Below are 22,640 nucleotides of genomic sequence, written 5' to 3' on the forward strand. Positions count from 1 at the left end.
AGTCCATCCTTGTTCTTGGCAGGGAGCAGATCTCAGGGCCACAGCTCCAGCTTTTCTCCTGCAAGGCCTGGCCAGCTCTGTGGCTGTACTTGTGCCCAGAGAGACAGGTGGCAGCGGCAGAGTTAGGCACACCTGGCCGTGAGCCACACCCACCTTGTGCTCCCCGTGTCTCCTGGGCTTGTTACCGCCCACTCAGGCCTCTGTTTTCCCATTTGTGGAGCAAGGGGTAATAGCAGATCCTGTCTCTGGGGCAGTTTTCCCAATCTATTGTGGTAAGGGTGTATAGTCCTCAGTTCCACGCCAGGCCCAGAAGAGGCCTTTGATACTCTGTGTTGATGGTAAACGACATGGTATGGGGTGAGCTCGGAGCTTGGTGGCCCCTGTGACGCTCTGGGGAGCGCTTCCCCAGGCCACAGGGCAGGCTCTCAGTCCAGAGCTGCCCTCCCTAAGGAATTCATCCCTTCCTTGTTTTCTTTGTTCATTCATTTCATCCCACAGATCCAGGCGCTCTGCTGAGATACAGTAATGAGCCCCAGGCATGAAGTCCCTGCCTGCACAGGGCTGGTGCTGTGGTTCCTAAACAAGAAACCGGTGCAGGGTTCCTGGCCAGGCAGTGCTGGGGAGAGGTAGCTGGGACAGCGTGGTGGCCCATGGCTGCCACAAAGAATGGAGTTCCTTCAATCTCTTTCTTCCATTAAAGGGCAATCCCTGGGGATTTAACATGCTGCCTTTCGTGTGAGGTCCCAGCACTCCCAGCGTCCTGGGAAGGCCTCATCGGGCTTTGCTTTGCTTCAAGGTGTCTTTGAGAAATCAGTTTTTCCAGTTGCAATGTGGGAGTTTTCCCCAGGCTCTCCTGAGACTCACAACCGCTCCCCCTAACGCTGCTGGTCATGGAGACCCACCTGGGCCAGGCCCTGGTCACATGTGATCGCATCGACCTCTCTTGGTGACCTTGAGAGTCAGGTCCTATTAATTCATTTTACAGATGAGGAAAGGGAGGCTGAGTGAGGCTGCATCATTTGCTGAGGAGCACAGTGTGCCCACTGCCAAGTCAGGATTTGAACCCACGCCCGTGGCTTCCAGACCACACTATCGGAACCACTCTGCCCTAGTGTGAATGGATGTTTTTTTAATTCTTGGCAGCAGAAAAACCAAAGATTCTGCTCAAAGCAGTAGACTCTCAGCGGCCCATGTGTCAGGGCTGTGCTGGGTGCTGCAGGAGAGCTCTGCAGAGAAGAATAGAGACAGACTGTTGGTGCTAAAATTGGCCTGAAAAATGACCATTTCCGCGTGAGCCAGGATTGCGTTGACTCCTTGCTCCAAGGCTGTGAGGTGTGTGGGGTTAGGTTCATGTGACAGATGAGGAAGTGGAGGCTCAGAGAGGCTGTGTGGCTTGCCAAGGTCACACAGCCCCGGGCGGCCTTATTCCACATCCACCTGCTCTGTCTGCCATCATCCATGGTGGTCTCCGGACTAGCTTTGGCCTCCCCAACATCCTGCATTTGGATAAACTGAGGCCTAAAGAACAATTCAGGGCTTGATCCCGAATGGGGGAGGGGACGGAACCCTTTGCATGCTTGTGGAAATGGACACTCATTCCACAGCGAAACTGCCTTCAAAATGCCACTGATTCTCAGGGCAGGAGAAGACTTAAGAAATGACAGCGGGCAGTCAGGGCACGTGTGTCTGTGACAGCAGAGGGGCCCGTATCCACCCTTCCTGGGACCGACAGCCAGGGTGATGGGGTTTTATAGCATCTGGAACAGGCAAGCCTTTTATAAGAAAATGTTTCCAAAGTTGTCCCGTCCCACCGTTGGCAAGCAGTCCTTAAACGGCAAAGAAACAGCCGTGCTCTGCATTCACGAAATGGTGAGCTGGCATTTAGGCCATTTATTTAAAGCGGGAGTTGAGGAGGCTAAAGACTTCAGTTCTGAGTGGCGGCTCGCAGCCTCACTGCAGCAGGGGAGCGTAATCTTCAGGGTTTTCTTCCCATTTACGGGTTTTTTTGTTGTTGTTGTATATTTGTAAAATGAGGCTTCTGCTGGCAAAAGCAGGTTTTAGCGAGTGCGGCGGCTCTTCCAGGACCTAATAAGGCCCCAACGGAGGGTGAATTCCAGCAACACTTTCCTTCCCCACATGGCCCCCCCATTCCGTCTTGCCTCATACACTTTGGGCACAGGGTACCATTCATCTTGCTTCCCATTAATGGAATTACCGCCATCACTTCTGTGGGATGAGATGGGCCCTTTGGAACTGTCTTGGGGACAGAGGCAGGATTGGCCGCCAGGCAGTTTTGCTTAGAGGGGAAGGGAAAGAAAGAGAGGGAGAGAAAACTCTTACAAATGGATGCTTCCTTGGGTGGTAAAGATCCTTGGCCATGGAGGACAGAGGCCGCAGGGCCCATCCAATCTGCTTCCTGCGCATGTCCCGTGTGAGCCTCGCTGTGGCAGGGCATGTGATGGCCCCAGTGGCAGATGTGAACGGGGCTTGACACCTGTGTACCACAGCCCCTTGACTTCAGAAGAAGGGAAGGAGGGACCCAGCATTTATGGGCTGCTGACAGATGCCTGGCACTGTGCTGGCCAAAATTTGGGAAGTGGTATCTCTGTCCTCATTTTTAGATGAAACAGCAGAGTCCCAGAGAGTGTAGACACTTGCTTTGAGTCACACAGCTCATGAGCAGTAGCACTGAAGTTTGAACCTCAGTCTGTCCATTTTCGTGGAGGACCAGCAGTGCCCCTCCTTGAGGCTCCAGAAGCAGCAGAGTGTGGACTCACAGTCCGGGTACCTGTCAGCAGCCTGTCCCAGCATCACCTCCCAATTCCCCAAGAAAGTGAGCAGACATCTGGAGGGTTTTTGCTTTCATGTAAGAATGCTGATCGAGGACAATGCTGAATATCATGTATTCCACCTGGACATCTGATAGAATTTCAGGGGTCTGGGATCCTGAGAATGAGGGAGGGAGGTTGGGAGCTGACCGGTCTGACGCACTGTGCTTGCCATTCTGCATGTCCATTTGTAGCAAGGCTGGCAATCATTGTCCTCTCCAGTGCCGGCTCTGATAGATTGATAGGGGCTGCCCGAGATGCCATGTTGAGAAGGCTTTGGAGACTGGCATTGATTAGCAATGTCTGCTGTGTGCACAGGAATGAAAAGATGGATGTGAAAAGGACCGACCTAACTTAGTACAATTCTTAACCTGAGCAGGGACCCCAGGGGCACGAGCTCTGCTTAGTTCTTGTGATTAGTTCATCGTGTGCCTCACCACACTTCCATCCCAGTAAACTCCAGGAGGGTGAGACTGTGCACAGCACACAGTGGGAATTCCACAGATAACAGAAGGAAGGATTGATGAAGGCTCTGCAGCCCCCAAAGAGCCAACAGTTGGAATCCTACAGTGAATGTTTTTAAAAACGTAATTTTAAACTTCTAGGGATGAGATGTAGGTGCCCACTTATTTAAACCAGGGCCATTTCATCCACGTCACTAACTTGCCGGATGTCTTTGAGTCATGGTTTCACCTGCCTGAGCCTCGGTTTCCTCATCTTCACTCCCAGCACTGTGGAGGGGTGACCTGGTTGATGACGGTCATGGAGCCCAGAACCCATGGGTAACGGGGTCAGCATTCAGAAGTGTCAGCTCCAGCTGCCTGCCCCCGCCTGCCGGGCCCTGTCCTCTGCCAGGCGGAGCTCCTGGTTCTCTGGGTCTGTAATGCTTTCCTTCTCACTTCTCAGACATCACTGCTTCTGGGGAGTCTCCTCTGACCTCAGCACACTGCTTAGAAACCCCTGCTTGGTGCCTCCATAGCCCCTTCTGCATCTTCCCCAACATGGCCCCCCACCCTGTGAGGCCCACTAATGGCCAGTCCCCTGCCCCAGGATCCCCTCCAGGGCTAGGACTGAGCCACTTTCCTCTGTGGTCCCAGTGCTCAGCCCAGGGCCTGGCCTGGCAAAGGCCTCGGTGACGGTAATGAGGGGAGGGAGCAATGCACCCTTCGTTTGTTCCTCAGGCCTGTGGCCATGGGGACAGCTGAGATGCTGAGACCACTGTGTCCAAAGCCCAGGCCTTTTCTGGGGACAGATAGGTCAGCGGGACGGATGGAACCAGCTCTGTGACTCACATACCCATTGTGCCTGCTGCGGTGATCCTTTAAACGACAGTTAGGTTTGATCCTGCGGGAGGTGGGTGTTTGGAAAGGTTTTGAGCAGGGGAGTGGCCCCCCTGAAGCAGAGTGTGGCCCGTGGAGGCTGGGGGGCTGGGAGGCGGCTGTGAACTTCAGGAGAGAGGAGGGGGAACGGGGCTGTCCTGGGGAGAGTGGGGAGAAGTGGGGAGCAGCCTGGAACAGTGCCGGGCACCTGGTGTCCACAGCCTGAGCTCCTACCTGGAGACCCCTGGATCAGGGAGTAAAGAATTCTGGGCTGCAAGTCAGAAGAAATGCTCCCCAGGGGCTTCAGTGGCTCCAGAGTCTCAGGAATCATCTCTGGATGGGTGACTGGGGCAAGGGTGGGCTGGGGCCCTGGTCTTAGTCTCCTCATCAGTCAAGGAGGGCAATGTGCTTTTTGCCCTTGACTCTCCTCTGACCCTGGCCCTTCATACCTGGATCTGGCTTGGGAGCAGGGTGAGGCCGAGGCCCACAGAAGCCATAGGGTCAGCCTAAGAGCAAGAGTGGAAAAAGAAAAATCATGAAGCAATAATGAGCCCGTGGTACATCGAAGGGGCCATTGAATCCCCGTGGACTCAGGACGACAGTGGCTGGAACAGTGGTTGTCTATGTGTGGCTGGAGTGTGTGCAGAGGGGCCAGTGCTTGAGCCTGAATCTTCACAGCCCCTCCTCCATACATGCAAATCCTAACAGTATGTTATTATTGATATGTAAATATTAGCTATTAGCTTTTTAAACAATAATTCCTCCTCCTATTGCTATTGTGGCTCGTTCATCAGAGCACCCTTCAGATCAGTAGGGGTTGGCCAGGTGGCGAAGGCCTGCAGTTAGAGCATGGGGAGACTGCGTGAGCAGGTGCAGAGGTGGGAAACAGCAGTTGCAGGAACCATAAGTGGCTCCGTGGAGCTGACGTGGTGGAGGACAGACATCACCTGGGCTTGGGCTTGATGGGTCAAGGGGTCTTAGGTGCTAAGCTCAGGAGGGATGGCAACCCAGAAACCTTGAAGGTGGATAAGGAAGGGGAGATGGGGTCTTAGGAATATGTGTCTGGTGGCGCGTGTGGAAAATGACGGTGCTAAGGCTGGGAGGACTTAGAGGCCAGTGGGGAGGCCCAGGTGCTGATGCCACTGTGGACATTCCTGAGCCTCTCAGCTACCTGAGGCCGCACTTCCACCCAAAAAGAGTCCTTGGCTGGGCCGGGTGTGGTGGCTCACACCTGTAATTCCAGCACTTTGGGAGGCCAAGGCAGGTGGATTGCTTGAGGCCAGGAGCTCGAAACCAGCCTGGCCAACATGGTGAAATCCCACCTCTACTAAAAATAACAAAAATTAACCAGGCATGGTGGCACACGCCTGTAATCCCAGCTACTTGGGAGGCTGAGGCAGGAGAATCTCTTGAACATGGGAGGCGGAGGTTGCAGTGAGCCGAGCTTGTGCCATTGCACTCCAACCTGGGCAAGAGAGTGAGGCTCCATCTCAAAAACAAAACAAAGAATCCTCAGCTCTTTCTCCCATCCCACCACCTTCTCCTACCCTTTCCTGCTGGGTGTTGGGGCAGCGGAGGGCTCTCCCCTTGGCACCCTCAGCCTCTCTCGGCTTTCCTGTGAAAAACCAGGCCGATGCCTGCCGACTTGTGAGAATAAATGATAAAATCTGTGACGCTCCCAGCACTGCCTGGGGAGAGGAAGGAAAGTGTTGTCTTCCCTAAATTCCTATTTCTGCGTGTCGTTTATTCTCTTCCCTGTCAGAGAAGTTGTTTTGCTTCCTGGGGACGAGAGAGGCCCGCGTTCACGGGAGCGCGCCCGCAGGCCCCATCCAGGCAGGTCGGCGGCCACGGAATTCATTTGTATCCCCAATTTCCAGGCTGCCTCGTGAATCTGCAAGAGCCCTGCTCCTCATGTGCTGTGGAGAGTGCATCGTGTTGTCCCTGTGACTGATTTCTGATCCTCCCTGCATTTATTTGTTTATTTGGGTCTGAGAAGTCCAAAGTGAAGCTGTGAGAAGGGGCGCCTTTGAGTTTTAATACGGGATGCACCATCATATAAGGACACTTTGGTCAACAGCAGACTGCGTATGTGACGTTGGTCCCATAAGATTATAATGCCATCTTTTGACTGTACCTTTTCCACGTGTAAACACACAAATACTGACCATTTCATTACTGTCGACTGCAGTACTCGGTACAGGACCATGCGGTACAGGTGTGTAGCCCAGGAGTGACAGGCGACACCCTATCGCCTAGGTGTGGGGGAGGCGAGACCGTCTGGGTTTGTGTAAGTCAACTCCAAGACGTTCACACAGTGACAAAATCGCCTCGTCATGCATTTCTCAGAGTGTGTCCCTGTCGCTAAGCGATGTGTGACTGTTTATATCTGTGGTACTTTGTAGGCGTTGGGGGCATGGGCTGGGTTTGTAGGTTCCCCTAGGTGAGCAGTAGTGTCCCAGGCATTGAGGAGGGCTGTTTCCAGGTCTGTCCGGGTGTCGTTTTCCGTGGAGGAGAAGTTGCTCAAGAAGATGAGCCCAGGCTAGCCCACAAGCCCTCACCCCCTCGCAGACCCAGGTGGCTGCAGGAGGATTCTAGAGGAGACTGGGTTCTGCCCGCCAACAGGGGGCTCAGCCACACCCCCCCACCCCTGGCCCACCATAGGACTTAGTGCCCACTTGGGATGCGGTCAGAATATTTTTAGGTTGAATGGGCGCATGAGGGTGGGGAGACGCATGCGTCAGATACCGGCTGGATGACTTCATGTATGTTGGTTGACACATTATACAGCTGGGGAGACTGAGACTCAGAGAGGCTGAGGGTCTTGGCTAAGATGCCCAGCAAAGAAGTCTTCATACCACATCTGACTCCCCGCTCCCTTGAGAATTCCCGTCACCTAGAGCACCCGTCCCAGCCCCTGCCGCAGTGCTGGGGAGGATCAGTGGAGACCAGGGTGGGGGGACCAAGCACGATCTCAGACCTCCTGTGTACCGGGGCACTTTGCCTACACAGTCTCATCTTCAGTAGATCTCTTTCCTGGTTTTCTGATCACAAAAGTGAGGCTTAGAGAGGTGATCAATTTGGGCGAAGTTTCCCAGCAAATAGGTGGAGTGTCCCATATTTCAATTCTGGCCTGGCCTGGAGAGGATGGGGGGCTTCAACCTGTCTTGGTGGGATAGCCTGGGCTGTGATACCGGAGGCATCACTTTCCCACCAAGAAAGAGCAGGAGGGTCTTTATGGGGGCAAACAGGGCAGGGAGCTCCCCCTCGGACCCCTGGGAAACATGGGGCTAGATTGGGCCCGACACCAGCCCAGTCCCTTTGCAGCCTACTCCAGCCTTTCTCTTCCCTTTTTTTTTTTTTTTTTTTGAGACGGAGTCTCACTCTGTCACCCAGGCTGGAGTGCAGTGGCACGATCTCGGCTCACTGCAACCTCTGCTCCCCGGGTTCAAGCGATTCTCCTGCCTCAGCCACCCGAGTAGCTGGGACTGCAGGCACACACCACAACGCCTGGCTAATTTTTGTATTTTTAGTAGAGGCAGGGGTTTCACCATGTTGGCCAGGCTGGTCTCGAACTCCTGACCTCAAGTGATTTGCCTGCCTCGGCCTCCCAAAGTGCTGGGATTACATGCGTGAGCCACGCGCCTGGCCCAGCCTTTCTCTTTCTGACTTCACTTGCCCCACCTGTGCAGTGGGAGGACAGGAGAACCCCTTTGTCTGTTGAGTGCTGATTATGTGCCAAGGAATTTGCTGCATGATCTGATCTGATGGCCCCAGTGACTCTTTGAAACCCGGCCCCTTATTGGCACCACCCAGTCACTCCCTGGCTGCGTTTCCCTCAAGGCACGTATCGCTGTCTGAAATGACCATGTCTGTTCACTCTCATGTCTGTGTCTACCTCCCAACCACGCAAAACCTGTGGGAGGGGAAGGCCTTCTCTCTCTTGTCCACTCCTGTGTCCCCAACCCCTCGGACAGCACATGGCTTCACAAGCTTCTCAAGAAATGCTTGGCAAATGATGGCAGAGTGGGTTAACCCTGGTGTTCTCAAAAAGGGAATGGAGGCCCACAGAGGGCAGGCCCATCCCTGGGTCACACTGCCAGGGCAGGATTGGAGCCCCTGCCTGTCCAGGGTCAGCTGGGGCCTCTCTCACTGACCAGCTTTGAGCCTGGAATTCCAGGTGTGCCTGGCTGTGTCCTTGCAGGTTCACACCGCCCAAAGAAACTTCCAGTCCACACTTGTGGCTTTGGATCAGCTCAGAAAAAGTGTGTCCTGTGACTGCTCGAGGAATCTGGGCATTTAGCCCAGAAAAGAGTGTGTTTCCTGGCTTCCTGAGAACTGGGGCCCACCCTGCCCCTGGTCTAGGCGTGCAGAACAGGAGGGAGGGGAGTTGAAATCGGGGCCTGGAAGGGTACGGCGTCAGACCTTATCATCTGAGTGAGGCTTGCCGCTCACGCTGAGACTGTCCCAGCCGAGCACTCCAGGAGAGGGTATCCCCACCATTGGAGCGTCCTTAGAGATGGCAGCAGCGCCTGGAGTTGCTGGAGAAGAAACATTCCTCACGCTCATGCGAATGTTTCCCTGGGCTGCTGTCCCAGCACTGGGTACCGTGGGGCAGACATGGGTGTGACGTTTTCCAAGCACGAGGTGACCAGTGTCCATTGGGTCATCAGGCCTCCAGGGCCACATGTTTGGAAAGCTATTCCTGGAGCACCAGGCATCTGGCACCTCGCTCTGTGGCTAGGCACGGGTTTATGAGGGGACCCTGCAGAGAGCTGGGGTCCTCAGCCTTGACATTTGCACATTGTGTATAATTTCACGCTTTGCTTTGCTTTTTTCTCTTCATTTTTTTCTTTTTTTGAGACAGGGTCTTGCTCTGTTGCCCAGGCTGGAGGGTAGTGTCGTGATCTCGGCTCACTGCAGCCTTGACTTCCTGGGCTCAAGGGATCCTCCCACCTCAGCCTCCCAAGCAGCTGGTGCTACAGGTGCATGCCACCACAGCTAATTTTTGTATTTTTTGTGGAGATGGGGTTTCTCCACATGTTGGCCAGGCTGGTCTCGAACTCCTGACCTCAGGTGATCCACCCACCTCAGCCTCACAAAGCGCTTTTGTTTTTCTTGAGAAAGATCAGAGCTTCCCTGCTGCATCTCCCGCTTTTCGCTTGTGTTTTCTTTTCTTCCTCACCAGCAGGCTGCCTGGTGACTGGCCTGGGGGCCTCTTCCCTCAGACCAGGAAATCACCCAGTACTCCGAGAGTGTTCACTAGAATTACCCTCATGTTCACTGGAATATACTGGTCAGATTTCTGAGAGGGAGACCCCCTTTTTGTACTCATAGGAGAATGGAGGAGGCCGGCCATGCTTCTCCTCAGCCACGATTGAAAAAGTCACCTAGCACAGTGGCCTGAGTCCACTGGTTCCCAAATCCCAGACCCAGGCCAGGCCTAGGGCCGTGTGAAGTCTTCCGCGGACCCACGGTGAAATAAGAAAAGGAAGGCCTGGCTTGGCATAGCTACTTTCCATGTCAGCTGTTTTTTCTTTTTTTTTTTTTTTTTTTTTTTTTTTTTTGGAGGCAGAATCTCACTCTGTCGCCCAGACTGGAGTGCAGTGGTGCGATCCCAGCTCACTGCAAGCTCCACCTCCAGGGTTGAAGTGATTCTCCTGCTTCAGCCTCCTGAGTAGCTGGGATTACAGGTGCCTGCCACCACACCCAGCTAATTTTGTATTTTAGTAGAGACAGGGTTTTACCATGCTAGCCAGGCTGATCTCGAACTCCCGACCTCAGGTGATCTGCCTACCTCGGCCTCCCAAAGTGCTGGGATTACAGGCGTAAGCCACCACACCCGGCCTGTCCTTTCTTTTATGAAAGATGGTGATACTAGGTGGACGTTTTATTTTAGATGCCAGAAAACTCTGGCAACCTATGTCTATCTTCAAAATGTGGGAGAGGCTGTCCAGGCCTGTGACACCTCCAGGCCCGGAAGCCATTGATGTACTTCTGTACCCCAGACACAGAAGTGGAGCCCGGGGCAGACTTTGATGCCTCAAGAACCTCTGAGTCATGGCCACACGTGAGCCCCCGGCTCTGCCCTGGTGTGCGGTGGGGCGTATTGGTTTCCTAGGGATATTATAACAAATTACTGCAAACTGGGTGCTTGAAAACAATAGAAATTCATTCTCTCTTGGAGAATCCTGGAGGCGTGATGCCTGAAATCAGGCTGGTGGTAGGCTCAGTTCCCGTGGAGGCTCTGACAAAGCACCTGCCGTGCCTTTTTCTGGCTTCTGGCAGGCGCTAGCCACCCTCCTTGTTCCTTGTTCCGTGTTCCGTGGCTCGTCTACACATCCCTCCAGTGCTCGCCTCTGTCGCCACATGGCCTTCTTCCTTGTGCGTCTGTCTCTGTGTCCATCCCTCATAGAAAGACACCCGTCATTGAATTTGGGCCACCCTAATCCCATGTGACCCCAGCTTAACTTGATTAGTATCTCCAAGTAAGGGCCTATGCCCCAGTTCCAGATAGACAAGGGTTTGGGGGGAACATTACTCTGGGGGCGTAAGGGATGAGGAGGGCAGGTCCAGGGAGCCTGCCCTCATTCCCAGGAGGAGACAGGAGACCAAGGAGCAGAGTCTGGCGGGGGAACGCTGTCACCACAGCAAGGGCCAGGCTGGGGCCACAGGGGGTGGGTCAGACACGCCCACTGAATACTCAGGGGCACGGGAGGGCCGGGATCCCCCTGACTCTCTGCATCCCAGATTCATTCCTACGCTTTCATACAGGCCCCAAAGACAAGTGCTGAGTAGATCTGGGTCTTCAGCACGATGTTTTTTAAAAACAGGCTTGCAGCGTTTGGTCCTTTGGTGGCACCAGCCAGGACCACTGAGGGCTGAGAACGTCTCAGCGCCCAGCATAGGCCGCCAGCCCTGGCTCTGCTCTTTTGGGTTAGAGAGCGGCCCCTCCCAGTAATGACAGGGCCCGCCATTCCCGGCAGCGCCCACCAGCACAGCCTCCCCCGCTTTGTGGACAAAGGGCAGCCTGTGGGGCAGGAAGGAGGGAATCCAGCCTCCCCTGTTCCCCCAGAGGCCTTTATCTATTTTGGCAAAGGCCCTGTGATCAGACGTTTCCGCCCTGACAACTCCCTGCCAAGTGATCTCAAGCAAGGGAGTCCCAGAGCCCTGCTGAGCCCCACTTCTCTCCTGTGAAGTAGGAGGCACAGTTCCAGCCCTGACCCTCTCAGGAAGGCTGGGGATGACAAGGCAAACCCTTCCCGTGCCTAGCCCAGGGCCTGGCACATAGTAGGTGCTCAGTCAATACTGAATGAGAGAGAGCATCTTGGAGCCCAGAACGTAAATTTCATGCCACTCCTGCGACGGAGCCTCAGTGGGGCCTCTTGGGAAGGAGAATCTATAGGCATTTCCTTCCCCACGTCCTAGGACACAGTTAGCTGAGACGACCGGGCAGGGGTGGGGAAGTTGAGTGCACGGGTGTAGCACTGGACGGAGGACAGAGGCTGCTAAGCTGCATCTCAGGCATTGATTGGCATTGAGGAAAACCCACCTAGACTTGGTATCGCGGGAGGGAGGGTCATGTGCAGGGAGCCCTGGAAGGGAGCCTGGAGAGCTGGGTGCCAGCCCTGGCTCTGCACCCCTTACCAGCCATGTGCAGGTCATGGCAGTGCCCTGTGGATCCTACTTCCTGAACCTCCCCTCTGCAGGCTTGATGCCACTGCTGTCATTTCGGCCTCTATCCCACAACTCGCACAGGGCTTGCCTCACCTTTAGGCCTTTGCACGTGCCATGCCCTCTGCCTGGAGTGCCCTGCCCCTATTCCTCCACTCAGAGCTGCTTCCCGTTCCGAGGAAAAATCCCATGCCCCAGGTAGACTGCACGCACATTTTCTTGTGTTTCCACACCCTGCTTTGCAGAGCAGCGGGCACCCTGGTTGTAGTTTAAGGGACGCCTGAGAGCCCCATTGAGGATGGAGATTGGTCCCCCTTGCCTGGCACACGCTTGGTGCCCAGCACTTGTGTGTCCATTGAGTGAGCAAATAATGGAATGTCTGGAGGCATGTGACGCCTCTGCTGTGTGGCTTGGTTTCCCCATCTTTAAAATACCAGATGTGGGCCAGGCGCAGTGGCTCTCGCCTATAATCCCAGCACTTTGGGAGGCTGAGGCGGGAGGATCACCTGAGGTTGGGAATTCGAGACCAGCCTGGCCAACATGTTGAAACCCTGTCTCTACTAAAAATACAAAAATTAGCCAGGTGTGGTGGTGCATGTCTGTAATCCCAGCTACTTGGGAGGCTGAGACACGATAATTGCTTGAACTAGGGAGGCGGAGGTTGCAGTGATCCAAGATGGCACCACTGCACTCCATACTGGGCGAAGACCGAGACTCCGTCTCTAAGTAAATAAATAAAATAAAATACTGGATGTGGACTGATGGAGTCCTTGGGGATCTGGTGAAACATGAGGCCTCAAGTGAACGGACTCGGGTCTTTCCTGCTCCCAGGAGTGGAATGGGAGCGTGGCAGCGACCACGCACACGTTTGTTTAATGATTATCCAATGTTGACCCAAAACTATGAGCAAAGCTCCGGGGATTTTCTGGGCGTTCAGCACAAAATTCCCAGTTAATGGGTTCCAGTGTCTTAAAAAGGCAGGACTGAGGCGGTCTCTATGGAGTTGTTCTGACTGCAGCTGGGCCCTGTCCTTCCACACCTGCCCCTGCAGGAATTCTCCGGACGCCTGTGGAGGGAAGAATGTGTGTGTCTGGGGTCCAAGACCACATGCACCGCCTGGTGGAACTTTCTCTGCTCTTGCATGTCTGGTGGGAGCTTCCCTTAATGACACAGGATCTGCCGAGATTCATCCCCAACTCCAGGCTGGCACCAGTGTTCAAGCCCCTGCCTCTGCTGTCTCCCAGGTCTTCAAATTTACACCACTCTGACTCTCAGTTTCCCTATCTGCAAAATGAAGGCAGGAATGCCCACCTCATGGGGTGAGCCAGTGGACCCAAATACGTGGTGCAGTAGGTGCCACGGAGTAGTGGCACGTGATTTTGTGGCTGTTAGTGTGAGTATTCCTTACTTTAGAGAGCAGAGGAAAACACATCAGCAGATTGTTTAAGCCAAAAAATGTCTGTTGTTTGAAGAATTTCGTTTTGGAAGGCAAGCCCAGGTTTTGGGTCAGAACCGTATTCCCTCAGGCACGGCACGGTTGAACGTCGAGGCATATTTTACAGGCTTGGTGACCGCTCAAGCCTTTGAGCCCTCCATGCGGGTGCTCTGAGGTCAGACTTTTCGGGAAGCCCTCACACAGCTGGTCTGCTTGTCGCGTTGGTAGCACCGTTTCCACAGAGCAGGCTCTGTTTGGCTATGAATAGATGTTTTTCTCACTCTTTTCTTGGATGCCTGAATGGCAGGCTCCCCTCCTGCAGTCTCAGAGGCCGACCTGCATGTAAAACTCCAAGCGGACATCAGAGTGGGTTCGTCTGTTCCTGCTTGGACTTGAGGCTCTCAGCAAGGCTCAAAGAGCTGGGTCGATGGCCACCATGACCCAGGGAGCCTCCCGAGAGTCTCCCAGGCTATAGTTTCTGAAGGCTACTGAGTGAACTGAAGAAATCAGAGTTCATGGAAGAGGCAGCAGATCCGAGCAACAGCCGAGATTGAGGAGGATGGTTCAGGATCTCCAAACACAGGCCCGCTGGCTCCACTGTGTCCAAGCCGCAGATGCAAAGCCTGTTAGGACAGAAAGGACACGAGATAGCAGCCAGGGCCGGCCGCAGGCAGGAGGGCCGGGCCACCAGCAGTTAGGAGTGTGGGTTCTGGAGCCACACAACCGGGGTTCAGATCCCAGTTTTCCCACCTCTATTGGGCAGCATACTGTAAGCCTCAGTTTTCCCCTTCTGTAAAACGGAGATAATAATTTACCTGTCTCACAAGGCTGTTATGAGGATTAAAGTAAGTTAACATCACTCAAGTGCATAGAACGATGCTGGGTACATACTAAATAAATACAGATAAACTGAGGCCCAGAGAGGGCAAGGGACTTCGCTGTGGTCACTCAGCAAGTCATTGGGGCAGCCAAGGCTGAAACTCATGACTCCTAGTCTCGTGAACGGTTCCCCCCTCCCTGCCCTCCCCCGCAGTCAGACTTTTTAAACACTGCCTTTTGCAGAGGAAATCGCGTGACCCTTCAGCCCACAAGAATTCCGACTGCACAGAATGTCTGAAACCTCTTCGGGCTGGCTGGGGGCCTTGTTGCAATTCTATTCAGCTGTTAGTTCTTTTTTTCCCCTCTCTTTCTTTTAAAGCTCTATAGGATCCTCCTTTCCCTTCTCCACAAATAGAAAAATTAACCTCTTGACAAAGGAGTTGGAAGACTTGAGTCCCTGCTGTGTGTCCCGGAACCAATCCCCCAGCCTCAGGTTCCCCGGCTGTGAAATGAGAAGGTGTCCTCTGTTGACAGGGAGGTGGCCCCACCTGCCAGTCTGTGATTGCCACAGAGACAAGCCAGCCAAGAAGTGCCACCCTGGACGAAGGTCGGGTGAGTGCTGATTAAACAAAATCTGGTGACGCATCCTTCTAAGAAGCGAGGCGAAACCCACCAGAGATGCTGCGTGCTTCTGCCCACCTCCTCGTGTCAAAGGTGATTTGAGTCATCAGCCTGGCCTGCACTTTTCTCGCTCTCCTGTTTCCTTGCAGTGCTCCTGGGCTCCTGAGCCACTCGGGGCTGAGGCCCGGGGGCCAGTTGTGTCCCATCTGCAGGCCCCAGGGCATTAGACCTGAGGGGCCTGGTCACCTTCTGATTTCTGCTGGGCGCCCCAGCCATGAGCTCCAGAGGCTGCCAGCCTAGGGTGTGAGTCTGTCTCCGAAGCTGCTGACATGAGTAGGGACTTCCCCTCTCTGAGCTTTAGTTCCTTATCTGTGAAATGGGTGCATGAGCCCTGCCTGGCAGGGTGAGATGAGGTACACAAGCCCTATCCTACTTCACTCCCCTCTTCCTTCCTGCCCGAAAGGCCCTGGCTCACCTGGGATCCAGCTGGGGCACAGCAGGTGTTGATATGTCCACCTGCTGCCCCCCGGCTGTGATATGCCCCCCTGGCTGCGGGGGACAGAGGGACAGCTGGCCACACCGGGAAGCCTGGGGACAGACCCTGGGACATCAGGGTCAGGAGCGTACAGGGTGCAGCCCTCTTGGCCTAGTGATGGGGATCCCTAGGGGAAAGACCTAGGGGCCAGGAGGTCATGGAGACAAGACTCGAACCCAGGATTGGGGCCCCCAGGTCCTCCTGTCCTTTGTGTAGGCTCACTTTCAGGTTACCCTGGCACCAGCAGGGGCCAGCCTGGTTGGGCCTGGGAATTCAGAGATGGGTGCCAAGGTGGGCCTGGAGCACGACGTAGGCAGACACGGGGCCGAGCCCCACCTTGCTACCCGCTGGTAAGGGGCCTTGGGCAAGTCGTGGCCACTCCTGAGCCCCCATCTCCTCATCTCAAAAATGAACATCATTCCCACTCTTCCCACCTTTCAAGGTTGTCATGCGGCTCCCTATGATAGTGTGGACAAAAGTCACTCTGTAGACCATCAAGAACTGACCAGGCCAGATGCGGTGGCTCATGCCTGTAATCCCAACACTTTGGGAGGCTGAGGTGGGTGGATCACCTGAGGTCAGGAGTTTGAAACTAGCCTGGCCAACATGGTGAAACCCCATCTTTACTAAAAATAGAAAGATTTGCTGGGTGTAGTGGCATGCAGGTATAACCCTGGATACTTGGGAGGGTGAGGCAGGAGAATCTCTTGAACCTGGGAGGTGGAGGTTACAGTGAGCCAAGATTGCACCATTGCACTCCAGCCTAGGTGACAGAGTGACACTGTCTCAAAAAAGAAAAAAAAACCGCCCAGAAGAAATGTGTCATTTCACCCTCTGGAACCATGAGCCCTGTGATCATGAGGCACAATCGTCATGTAAATATATAGGGTCTCTCACCAGCCACGGGCCAAGATTTATTTTATGGAGACAGTGGGGGAGGGGGCCAGCTCAGTTTCATTGTCCTGGTAACTTTGTAAAATGCTTTGCCATCACTTCCCAGCTCCTGGGAGGATGCAGCAGGAGCTGTGCAGCCTCTCTCGCCCTCCCAAAAGGCGGATCCCCAGAGGCCCTGGACACCTCCTTCCAGGTCCACAGGCCCAAAGGCCTGGTGTCCATAAGGCTGGGGTTCCCTGGAAAGTGGGTTTCTGGAAATACTTGTTGCAGGGATATCGCTGTTGCGTGAGGGCTGGTTGTTTATGATAACAGGAATCATAACAGTGGCAGTACCCACATTGATTGATTGATTGATTGAGACAGAGTCTCACTCCATCACCCAGGCTGGAGTGCAGTGGCGCGACCTCAATTCACTGCAACCTCTGCCTCCTGGGTTCAAGTGATTCTCCTGAATCAAGTGATTCAGTGCTCAGCCTCCTGAGCAGCTGGGATTACAGGTACCCGCCCCCACACCCAGCTAATTTTTTGTATTTTTAGTAAAAATGGGGTTTTGCCATGTTGGCCAGGCTGGTCTCGAACTCTTGACCTCAAGTGATCCACTCACCTCGGCCTCCCAAAGTTCTGGGATTACAGGCGTGAGCCACCCTGCTCGGCCCAGTACCCACATTTATTAAGCTCTTCTGCATACCCGGGCCCTGATAATCCTGGGCTGGTATTTTACCTGCATGTAAAGTACCTCACTTGGTCCTCACGGCAGCCCTACAAGATGGGTCCTACTGTGGCTACTAGTTTATAAAAGAGGGAACTGCAAAGGGATGACCCTGGGACTGGCCCAGGCTCACATGGGCGGATGGAGGCAGCACCGAATTTGTACTCGGGGCTCTCAGACCCCTGAGCTTGCTGCCTCTCCACCTCCCCACAGCCTGGCCTGCTCTTCTCAGATCCAGGACACTGCCTCCCTGCAGCCCCCTTCATTGCCCCACGTTGAAATTAACGGCCCCTTCTGTGATTCAGCAACGCAGTTAAGTACATTGGGGTTTTTTGGTTGGTGTTTCGTTTTTTGTTTTTTTAGAAAGAGGGTCTTGCTCTTTCACCCAGGTGGAATGCAGTGGCACAATACTAGCTCTCCACAGCCTTGAACTCCTGGGCTTAAGTGATCCTTCCATCTCAGCCTTCCAAAGTGCTAGGATTACAGGTGTGAGCCACCACGCCTGACCTAGTTAAGACTTTGATTGGACACCCCCCCCGCCCCCCCCCGCCACACACACACACACACACACACACACACACACACACACACACACACACACTCCATCTGCTCCTTCGCTGAGGGGAGGGTGCTCTGGACACACTGCTGAGGATGTCCAGGTCAGGACTCAGGCCTGCATTCCCATCCAAGCTCTGCCTCTGCAGCTAGGACTCCCTGAGTCTCAGTTTCCTCATCTGTCAAATGGATACACTGTCTGCCTTCCAGGGTTGTTTTGTGAGCACACAGGCTGGCACTATCCCTGAAGGATCTGGCCCAGCACCCGACACTGATGGGGTGCCCTGGATGCATGCCTCCATATACACACCTCCATGGCTGTGTGTTGGGGAGCCCAGGAGGCATCCAAGCCACAGCCCCACGTCACTATGGCTACTATGCATGAGGAAGGCAGTGTGCAGGGGCTGGAGGGCTCAGAAGTGATCCAGGGTCCAAGAACAAATTCCCTTAGCAATTCCAGACCGAAAAGATCTGGTTTTCTAGTGCCCAGAAATGAGCACGTGATTAAATACAGGATCCCCAGTTTAATTCCAGAGCAACCCAGTGAATCACAGATCCTTTGTCAGCCGTATAAGAAGCATCTGCACAAGAAGGGCGCTTCTAGACTGTGGAGTCCAACCCACTCATGTTGCAGGTGGGGAAACTGAGGCCCAAAGATAGCCTGTGACTTTCCCAAGACCATGCAGCCCTATGGGAGTCTGGCCTGTATGAGTCCTGGGCCACCAGACCACACACAGCACAGCTCAGAGCACAAGCCACTCCTGCGGAGCTAAAAATGGCCACATACTTCCTAAGCCCAACTCCAGGGTTCAGTGAGGATCCTGGTAAGGAGAGCGACACAGGAAGGTGCAGGGGTTGCCATGGTGTGGCCCCAGATGCTGTGATTACGCGCCAGCCCCGTCACACCGTACGGGTGGTAGGACTGGGCAAAGAAGACGCCGCCACCTGGATGCACTGAGGTGTGCACAGCCACGTGGAGATGATGCTGGGGGCTCACGGTGACTCTCAGGAGGCCCTGGCCTGGCCTATCTGGAGCCTTCTCTGTGAAATGAGGCTGGTAACGCCCACTAGCAGGGTTGTAGGGGACATGGATCTGTGGCCACCTCCTCAAGGGGTGCCACACGCACCAGGTCCTGACTGGGAGTCCGGCCCCCAGGGCCTGTGGATGGCTGGCCTGGGCCCAGCCTCCGCCCCCAAGGGTGCTGGCACCTGGCATGTGCCCGACAGTTGGGGCCGGCTGGTGGGAAGGTGTGTGTCAGGTGGCGGAGCCTCGGTGCCAGGATCTCACTCACGCGTCCTCCAGGGCCTCAGCTGCTGTATGCCTGTGTCAGTCCCAGTGGCGATGAGCTGCAGATGGGGCACAGGGGTGGTTTGCCCAGGGCAGAAGTGGCTCGTTCTGAAAAAGGAAGCAGGTGCTGGCCACGGAGAGCCCCTCTTGGGGACCAGGGGCTGGGGCTGGCCTGCAGAGCCCAGATTCCTCTCACAGACTGGGTGGCGGGGGGTCTGTCTGGCCTCTGTGCCCTTGATCCCACGGTGTCCTCTACTGGGAATCCCCCTCCCCTTTAGTCCAAACCCTGCTGGTCCTTCTGGGCCACCTCAGGTTTTCTACCTGTTGTCCAAAGCTCCCCGTGACCTGGCCCCGCCAGAAGCAGCAGCCATGGGTCCTTTTCCTGAGCAGCTTCGTGCTCTTTTTAGCTTGTGGGTAGCAGTTCCAGGGCCTGCTCCTGGGGACCTGTAAGAACAGGAACTGTGTCTGAGTCATTGCAGGGTCCCGAAGGGAAGACGAACACTCCTCATCCTCTGATCCTGGATCCGCACCCTCGTTTTGGAGAATGCAGGGCCCGAATAAAGATGCAATAACAATCAAATAACAACCCCACTGATGGGGTATCTGCCTTGTGCCCCGCCTGGCCCTAAGCTCTTTCAACTCGTGCAATGTCATGTAACCCACCAGCACCCCGGGCAGTAGATACTACCCTTGTCCCTGTTTTACCCGTGAGAATGCAGGTGCACACAACTGGGACGTGGCTAAGCCAGAACTTGAACCAGGACTGCCGCCTGCCAGGGCTCTCATCTCATGGGCAACCAAGGATTTGGGCCCAGTTTACAAAGGAGAGAATAGAAAGGGTTAAGCTTTTAAAGGAACAGCAAGGGCCGGTCACGGTGGCTCACGCCTGTAATCTTACCACTTTGGGAGGCCGAGGTCAGCAGATCACCTGAGGTTAGGAGTTCGAGACCAGCCTGACCAACATGGAGAAACCCCATCTCTACTAAAAATACAAAATTAGCCGGGCATGGTGGTGGGTGTCTGTAATCCCAACTGCTTGGGAGCCTGAGGCAGGAGAATCGCTTGAACCTCGGAGGCGGAGGTTGCGGTGAGCCAAGATCATGCTGCTGTACTCCAGCCTGGGCAACAAGAGCGAAACTCCATCTCAAATAAATAAATAAATAAACAAACAGCAAGAACAGTTATGCTTTTCAGCATTTTGCTGGGCCCCAGTGTGGATAGGTGGGGAGCGAGCACAAGGACCAAAGGAAAGGACCCTTGTCCCTCCCTGAGCCTACACTGGTCTAATCGGGTGGTGCTGCCATCAGATTCCAGTCCCTGGTAAGCAGGGGGCTCCGTGGCGGCTGTGACAAGTTCCATTCACTTTGGAGGTGGCAGCCGGAGCTATTTTTAGAGCAGCGCATGGTGGGGGAGTTTCCTTTTGGCGGTGTCTGGGGACCGGAGTCTTGGGAAGGGGAAGTCCCATGCGGAGACAGAGGCCCTTCTTCCTGCACCCACCCCAGCCCAGAGAGGCGACCCAGCTCCCTGGAGGCCCAGGCACCTCATGTCTGCCCTCAACCCAGAGTGGAGCAGACCTTCCCTGGAGCTTCTCAGGAGCCACTTCAAAAGGTACCCTGACTTTCTCTGCCTCCTGCTGTGGGAACCGCTTGCTCTTAGGGGTGTGTCCAGCGAGGGATGGGGAACCAGGCCCCAGGGACCTCCAGGGCTGGAGCTCCAGGGACCTTGACCTGGCTGCACCTCTGCCACCCACCGCTGGCTCAGCCACCTGCTGGTGGGGCTGCCCATTCAGCCAGTCCCACCAACCTGACAGGACCTTTGCCACTAGCCTGGGACAGGGGTGGCTGCTGATGGCTGCTTTCACATTGAGTAATCCCTGGGCTTGGCCAGAACTTCTGAGTTTCCAGGGAAGCAGAAAAAGCAATTCTTTCTCTAGGGTGGGTTTTGTCTGCCCCTTCCTGCCTGTGGGAAGGAGAGAAAATTAGGGGAGGCCACGGGCTTGAAAGCTTTCCCTGCATGGAGGCCACTGGATGGGATTCTAGATGCTCGCCTGGGACCCAGGGTGAGTTTTTTACAAACACCGAAGCCCTCCAGCCCCCGGGGCTGTTCCACTTGGTCCTTCTTCCACTGTCAGTCAGCAGGGTAGTAGCTGCGGTTCTGCTCTGAAATCCATCCCTTCCCTTAAGCCCCAGCCTCTCCCCAGTGGTCCCCCTGGCATGAGTTGGTCTCGGGGGGCCAGGCTTCTCCCTCCTGGCCTCAGGTGTTTCTGTACTGAGTCAGCAACCAGTTACCCAGCCTCTCCTCTGCCAACTGCTGGGGCCATGGAGAGAGTGGTTTAGTCTCTACCCTCAAGGACATTTCCATGTTCAAGGAGAAGAAGACACATGAATTAGAGACAGCACGGGGGAGCAGGCTGTGGAGCTGGGAGTGACGGGGTGAGTCCAGGAAGGCTGCCTGGAGGAGATGCCCAGGAGAGAAGTTTGCTGGGAGGCAGCTCATTTCCGGCAGGAGGAGCAGAGCCTGCCAAGGCCTCGAGGTGAGAGCAAGATCATTTCCCAGGCAGGCAGGGGTCTCTGGGATGGTGGGCCTGCTAGCGGGCCTGGGACTCCTAGAGTGAGACCGCAGCTCTCCCCAGCTGCATTGTGGTCACCAAGGATCACCTCAGGCAAATGATTAAAATGCAGACTTTGGAGAGGGTTGGATCTGAGTTCAAAAACAGGCCATGCTGCTTATCAGCTGCATGAGCTCGACAAGTCATTTAACTTCTCTGCACCTCAGTTTCTTCATCTGTAAAAGTGAAGGGCTTGCAGACCTCACAGCAGGGATGTGCTGAGCTGCTGCCTGCAGTGCCCGACACAGAGGAAGCACTCAGCAGATCTCAGCTTCATCTTCAGGGAGGCTGGGAGCGGACCCAGCCTTGACCAGGTCCCAGAGTCAAGAATCTTCTGGGCAGAAGCCAAATGCTTTGTTGCTCCTTTAACTGAGAGACAAGATGTTTACAGCTTCTGCATTTTTTTTCTTCCAGAATTGGGTTTTATTACCTGAGGAGGAAGTGAAAGGTGATTGGGATGCTCCTCGATTTTCAAAAAGGCCCTGGGAACCCTGCAGTGTGCGGCCCAGTTGGTTTTGAATCTCCAGTGACTTTTGTCTGATCTGTGACCACAGGGATGCTGAGCCCTCAGCAGAGGTTTCTTGGGGTTGCAGGAGGGTGGGAAGAGCCCCCTCCACCTACTAGTCAGAGATTCATTCTGCCAACGCCCCCTGGGTGGCCCTCTTTTCACCGGGCCTGGGTGAGGCACTGGAGGTTTACAGATGACCGCGAAGGTCAGTCCCTGCCCTTAAAGGCTGGCAGAGGAGGCAGACATGCTGACAAAGGAAGCAGTTTGTGTCCTCAACAGCCCACCTTCAGGGAGAAACCTGTGTAGATGCCACCAGATGGGAAAGGGAAGAAGGGGCCTTGGTGCCCCCTGGCTGCCCACTGTGTGCTCACAGAGTCCTCGCAGCCTCCCTGCAAGCTTGGGCTGTTCCTTTTTGTGGATGGGGACGTTTAAGGCTCAGGGAGGGGACGGGACTTCCCCAAGGTCCCACAAGAAGTGCCAAGACTATGGCTGGGCATGGTGGCTCACACCTGTAATCCCAGCACCTTGAGAGGCCAGGGTGGGAGGATCACCTGAGGTCAGTAGTTCGAGACCAGCCTGACCAACATGGCGAAACCCCGTCTCTACTAAAACTACAAAAATTAGCTGGGCGTGATGGTGTGTGCTTATAATCTCAGCTACTCGGGAGCCTGAGTAGTGTGTCAGTTCCTCCCTGCCAGCCAGTCTGCCTGGGCGTGGTAGTCCTTCCAGCCCCTGGGCTTGTGCTAAGTTTCTTTCTGTAATTGCTCCATCTGGCTGGTCTGAGAAGCAGGTTCAAATGGCAGGAGAATCACTTGAACCCAGGAGGCGGAGGTTGCAGTCAGCAGAGATC

At 54.8% G+C, this 22,640-nt stretch overlaps 1 protein-coding gene across 21 annotated transcripts in view, besides 9 other annotated features; it reads left to right on the top strand.

The window, feature by feature from the left end:
• NEK6 (NIMA related kinase 6) overlaps nt 1-22,640 on the top strand; it is a 95,702-nt gene that overhangs the window by 14,201 nt on the left and 58,861 nt on the right. For 2 of the 21 annotated variants that reach the window (XR_007061232.1, NM_001166171.2), the window contains exons 1-2: nt 20,158-20,282; nt 21,043-21,207. The exons of 8 other annotated variants lie outside the window; for them this stretch is intronic. Coding sequence is in view for 7 of the 13 variants with exons in the window: in NM_001166171.2 (NP_001159643.1) it covers nt 21,135-21,207 (73 nt within the window). In the remaining 6 variants the exon portion in view is untranslated. Of the gene's footprint in view, nt 1-14,323; nt 14,787-20,157; nt 20,283-20,499; nt 20,734-21,042; nt 21,208-22,640 lie in introns of those variants that run through there. 11 more of the 21 variants (XR_007061231.1, NM_001166170.2, XR_007061234.1 and 8 more) reach the window with 10 other exon arrangements.
• Nucleotides 10,964-11,258: a silencer, noted in NCBI's record as "tiled region #10556; K562 Repressive non-DNase unmatched - State 5:Enh". NCBI's record gives its function as "represses a minimal TATA promoter and a strong SV40 promoter by Sharpr-MPRA in K562 cells {active_cell/tissue: K562}" and the evidence as "EXISTENCE:reporter gene assay evidence [ECO:0000049][PMID:27701403]".
• Nucleotides 13,701-13,875: a silencer, noted in NCBI's record as "fragment chr9:127047786-127047960 (GRCh37/hg19 assembly coordinates)". NCBI's record gives its function as "represses an EF-1alpha promoter that drives an FKBP-Casp9 reporter gene in an ReSE screen in K562 erythroleukemia cells {active_cell/tissue: K562}" and the evidence as "EXISTENCE:reporter gene assay evidence [ECO:0000049][PMID:32094911]".
• Nucleotides 13,964-15,163: an enhancer, noted in NCBI's record as "BRD4-independent group 4 enhancer chr9:127048049-127049248 (GRCh37/hg19 assembly coordinates)". NCBI's record gives its function as "activates an origin of replication core promoter dependent on BRD2, P300/CBP, MED14 and CDK7 cofactors, and independent of BRD4, by STARR-seq in HCT116 cells {active_cell/tissue: HCT116}" and the evidence as "EXISTENCE:reporter gene assay evidence [ECO:0000049][PMID:35650434]".
• Nucleotides 14,132-14,201: an enhancer, noted in NCBI's record as "active region_28975". NCBI's record gives its function as "activates an Ori minimal core promoter by ATAC-STARR-seq in GM12878 lymphoblastoid cells {active_cell/tissue: GM12878}" and the evidence as "EXISTENCE:reporter gene assay evidence [ECO:0000049][PMID:35858748]".
• Nucleotides 14,702-15,081: an enhancer, noted in NCBI's record as "active region_28976". NCBI's record gives its function as "activates an Ori minimal core promoter by ATAC-STARR-seq in GM12878 lymphoblastoid cells {active_cell/tissue: GM12878}" and the evidence as "EXISTENCE:reporter gene assay evidence [ECO:0000049][PMID:35858748]".
• Nucleotides 19,977-20,176: an enhancer, noted in NCBI's record as "active region_28977". NCBI's record gives its function as "activates an Ori minimal core promoter by ATAC-STARR-seq in GM12878 lymphoblastoid cells {active_cell/tissue: GM12878}" and the evidence as "EXISTENCE:reporter gene assay evidence [ECO:0000049][PMID:35858748]".
• Nucleotides 20,197-20,306: an enhancer, noted in NCBI's record as "active region_28978". NCBI's record gives its function as "activates an Ori minimal core promoter by ATAC-STARR-seq in GM12878 lymphoblastoid cells {active_cell/tissue: GM12878}" and the evidence as "EXISTENCE:reporter gene assay evidence [ECO:0000049][PMID:35858748]".
• Nucleotides 20,317-20,376: an enhancer, noted in NCBI's record as "active region_28979". NCBI's record gives its function as "activates an Ori minimal core promoter by ATAC-STARR-seq in GM12878 lymphoblastoid cells {active_cell/tissue: GM12878}" and the evidence as "EXISTENCE:reporter gene assay evidence [ECO:0000049][PMID:35858748]".
• Nucleotides 20,615-21,599: an enhancer, noted in NCBI's record as "H3K4me1 hESC enhancer chr9:127054700-127055684 (GRCh37/hg19 assembly coordinates)". NCBI's record gives its function as "activates a minimal SCP1, AML or CMV promoter by ChIP-STARR-seq in primed H9 embryonic stem cells {active_cell/tissue: H9 hESC(primed)}" and the evidence as "EXISTENCE:reporter gene assay evidence [ECO:0000049][PMID:30033119]".

The sequence above is a fragment of the Homo sapiens genome, chromosome 9 (genome assembly GCF_000001405.40).
Source record: "Homo sapiens chromosome 9, GRCh38.p14 Primary Assembly".
In the NCBI taxonomy this organism is placed as follows: domain Eukaryota; kingdom Metazoa; phylum Chordata; class Mammalia; order Primates; family Hominidae; genus Homo; species Homo sapiens.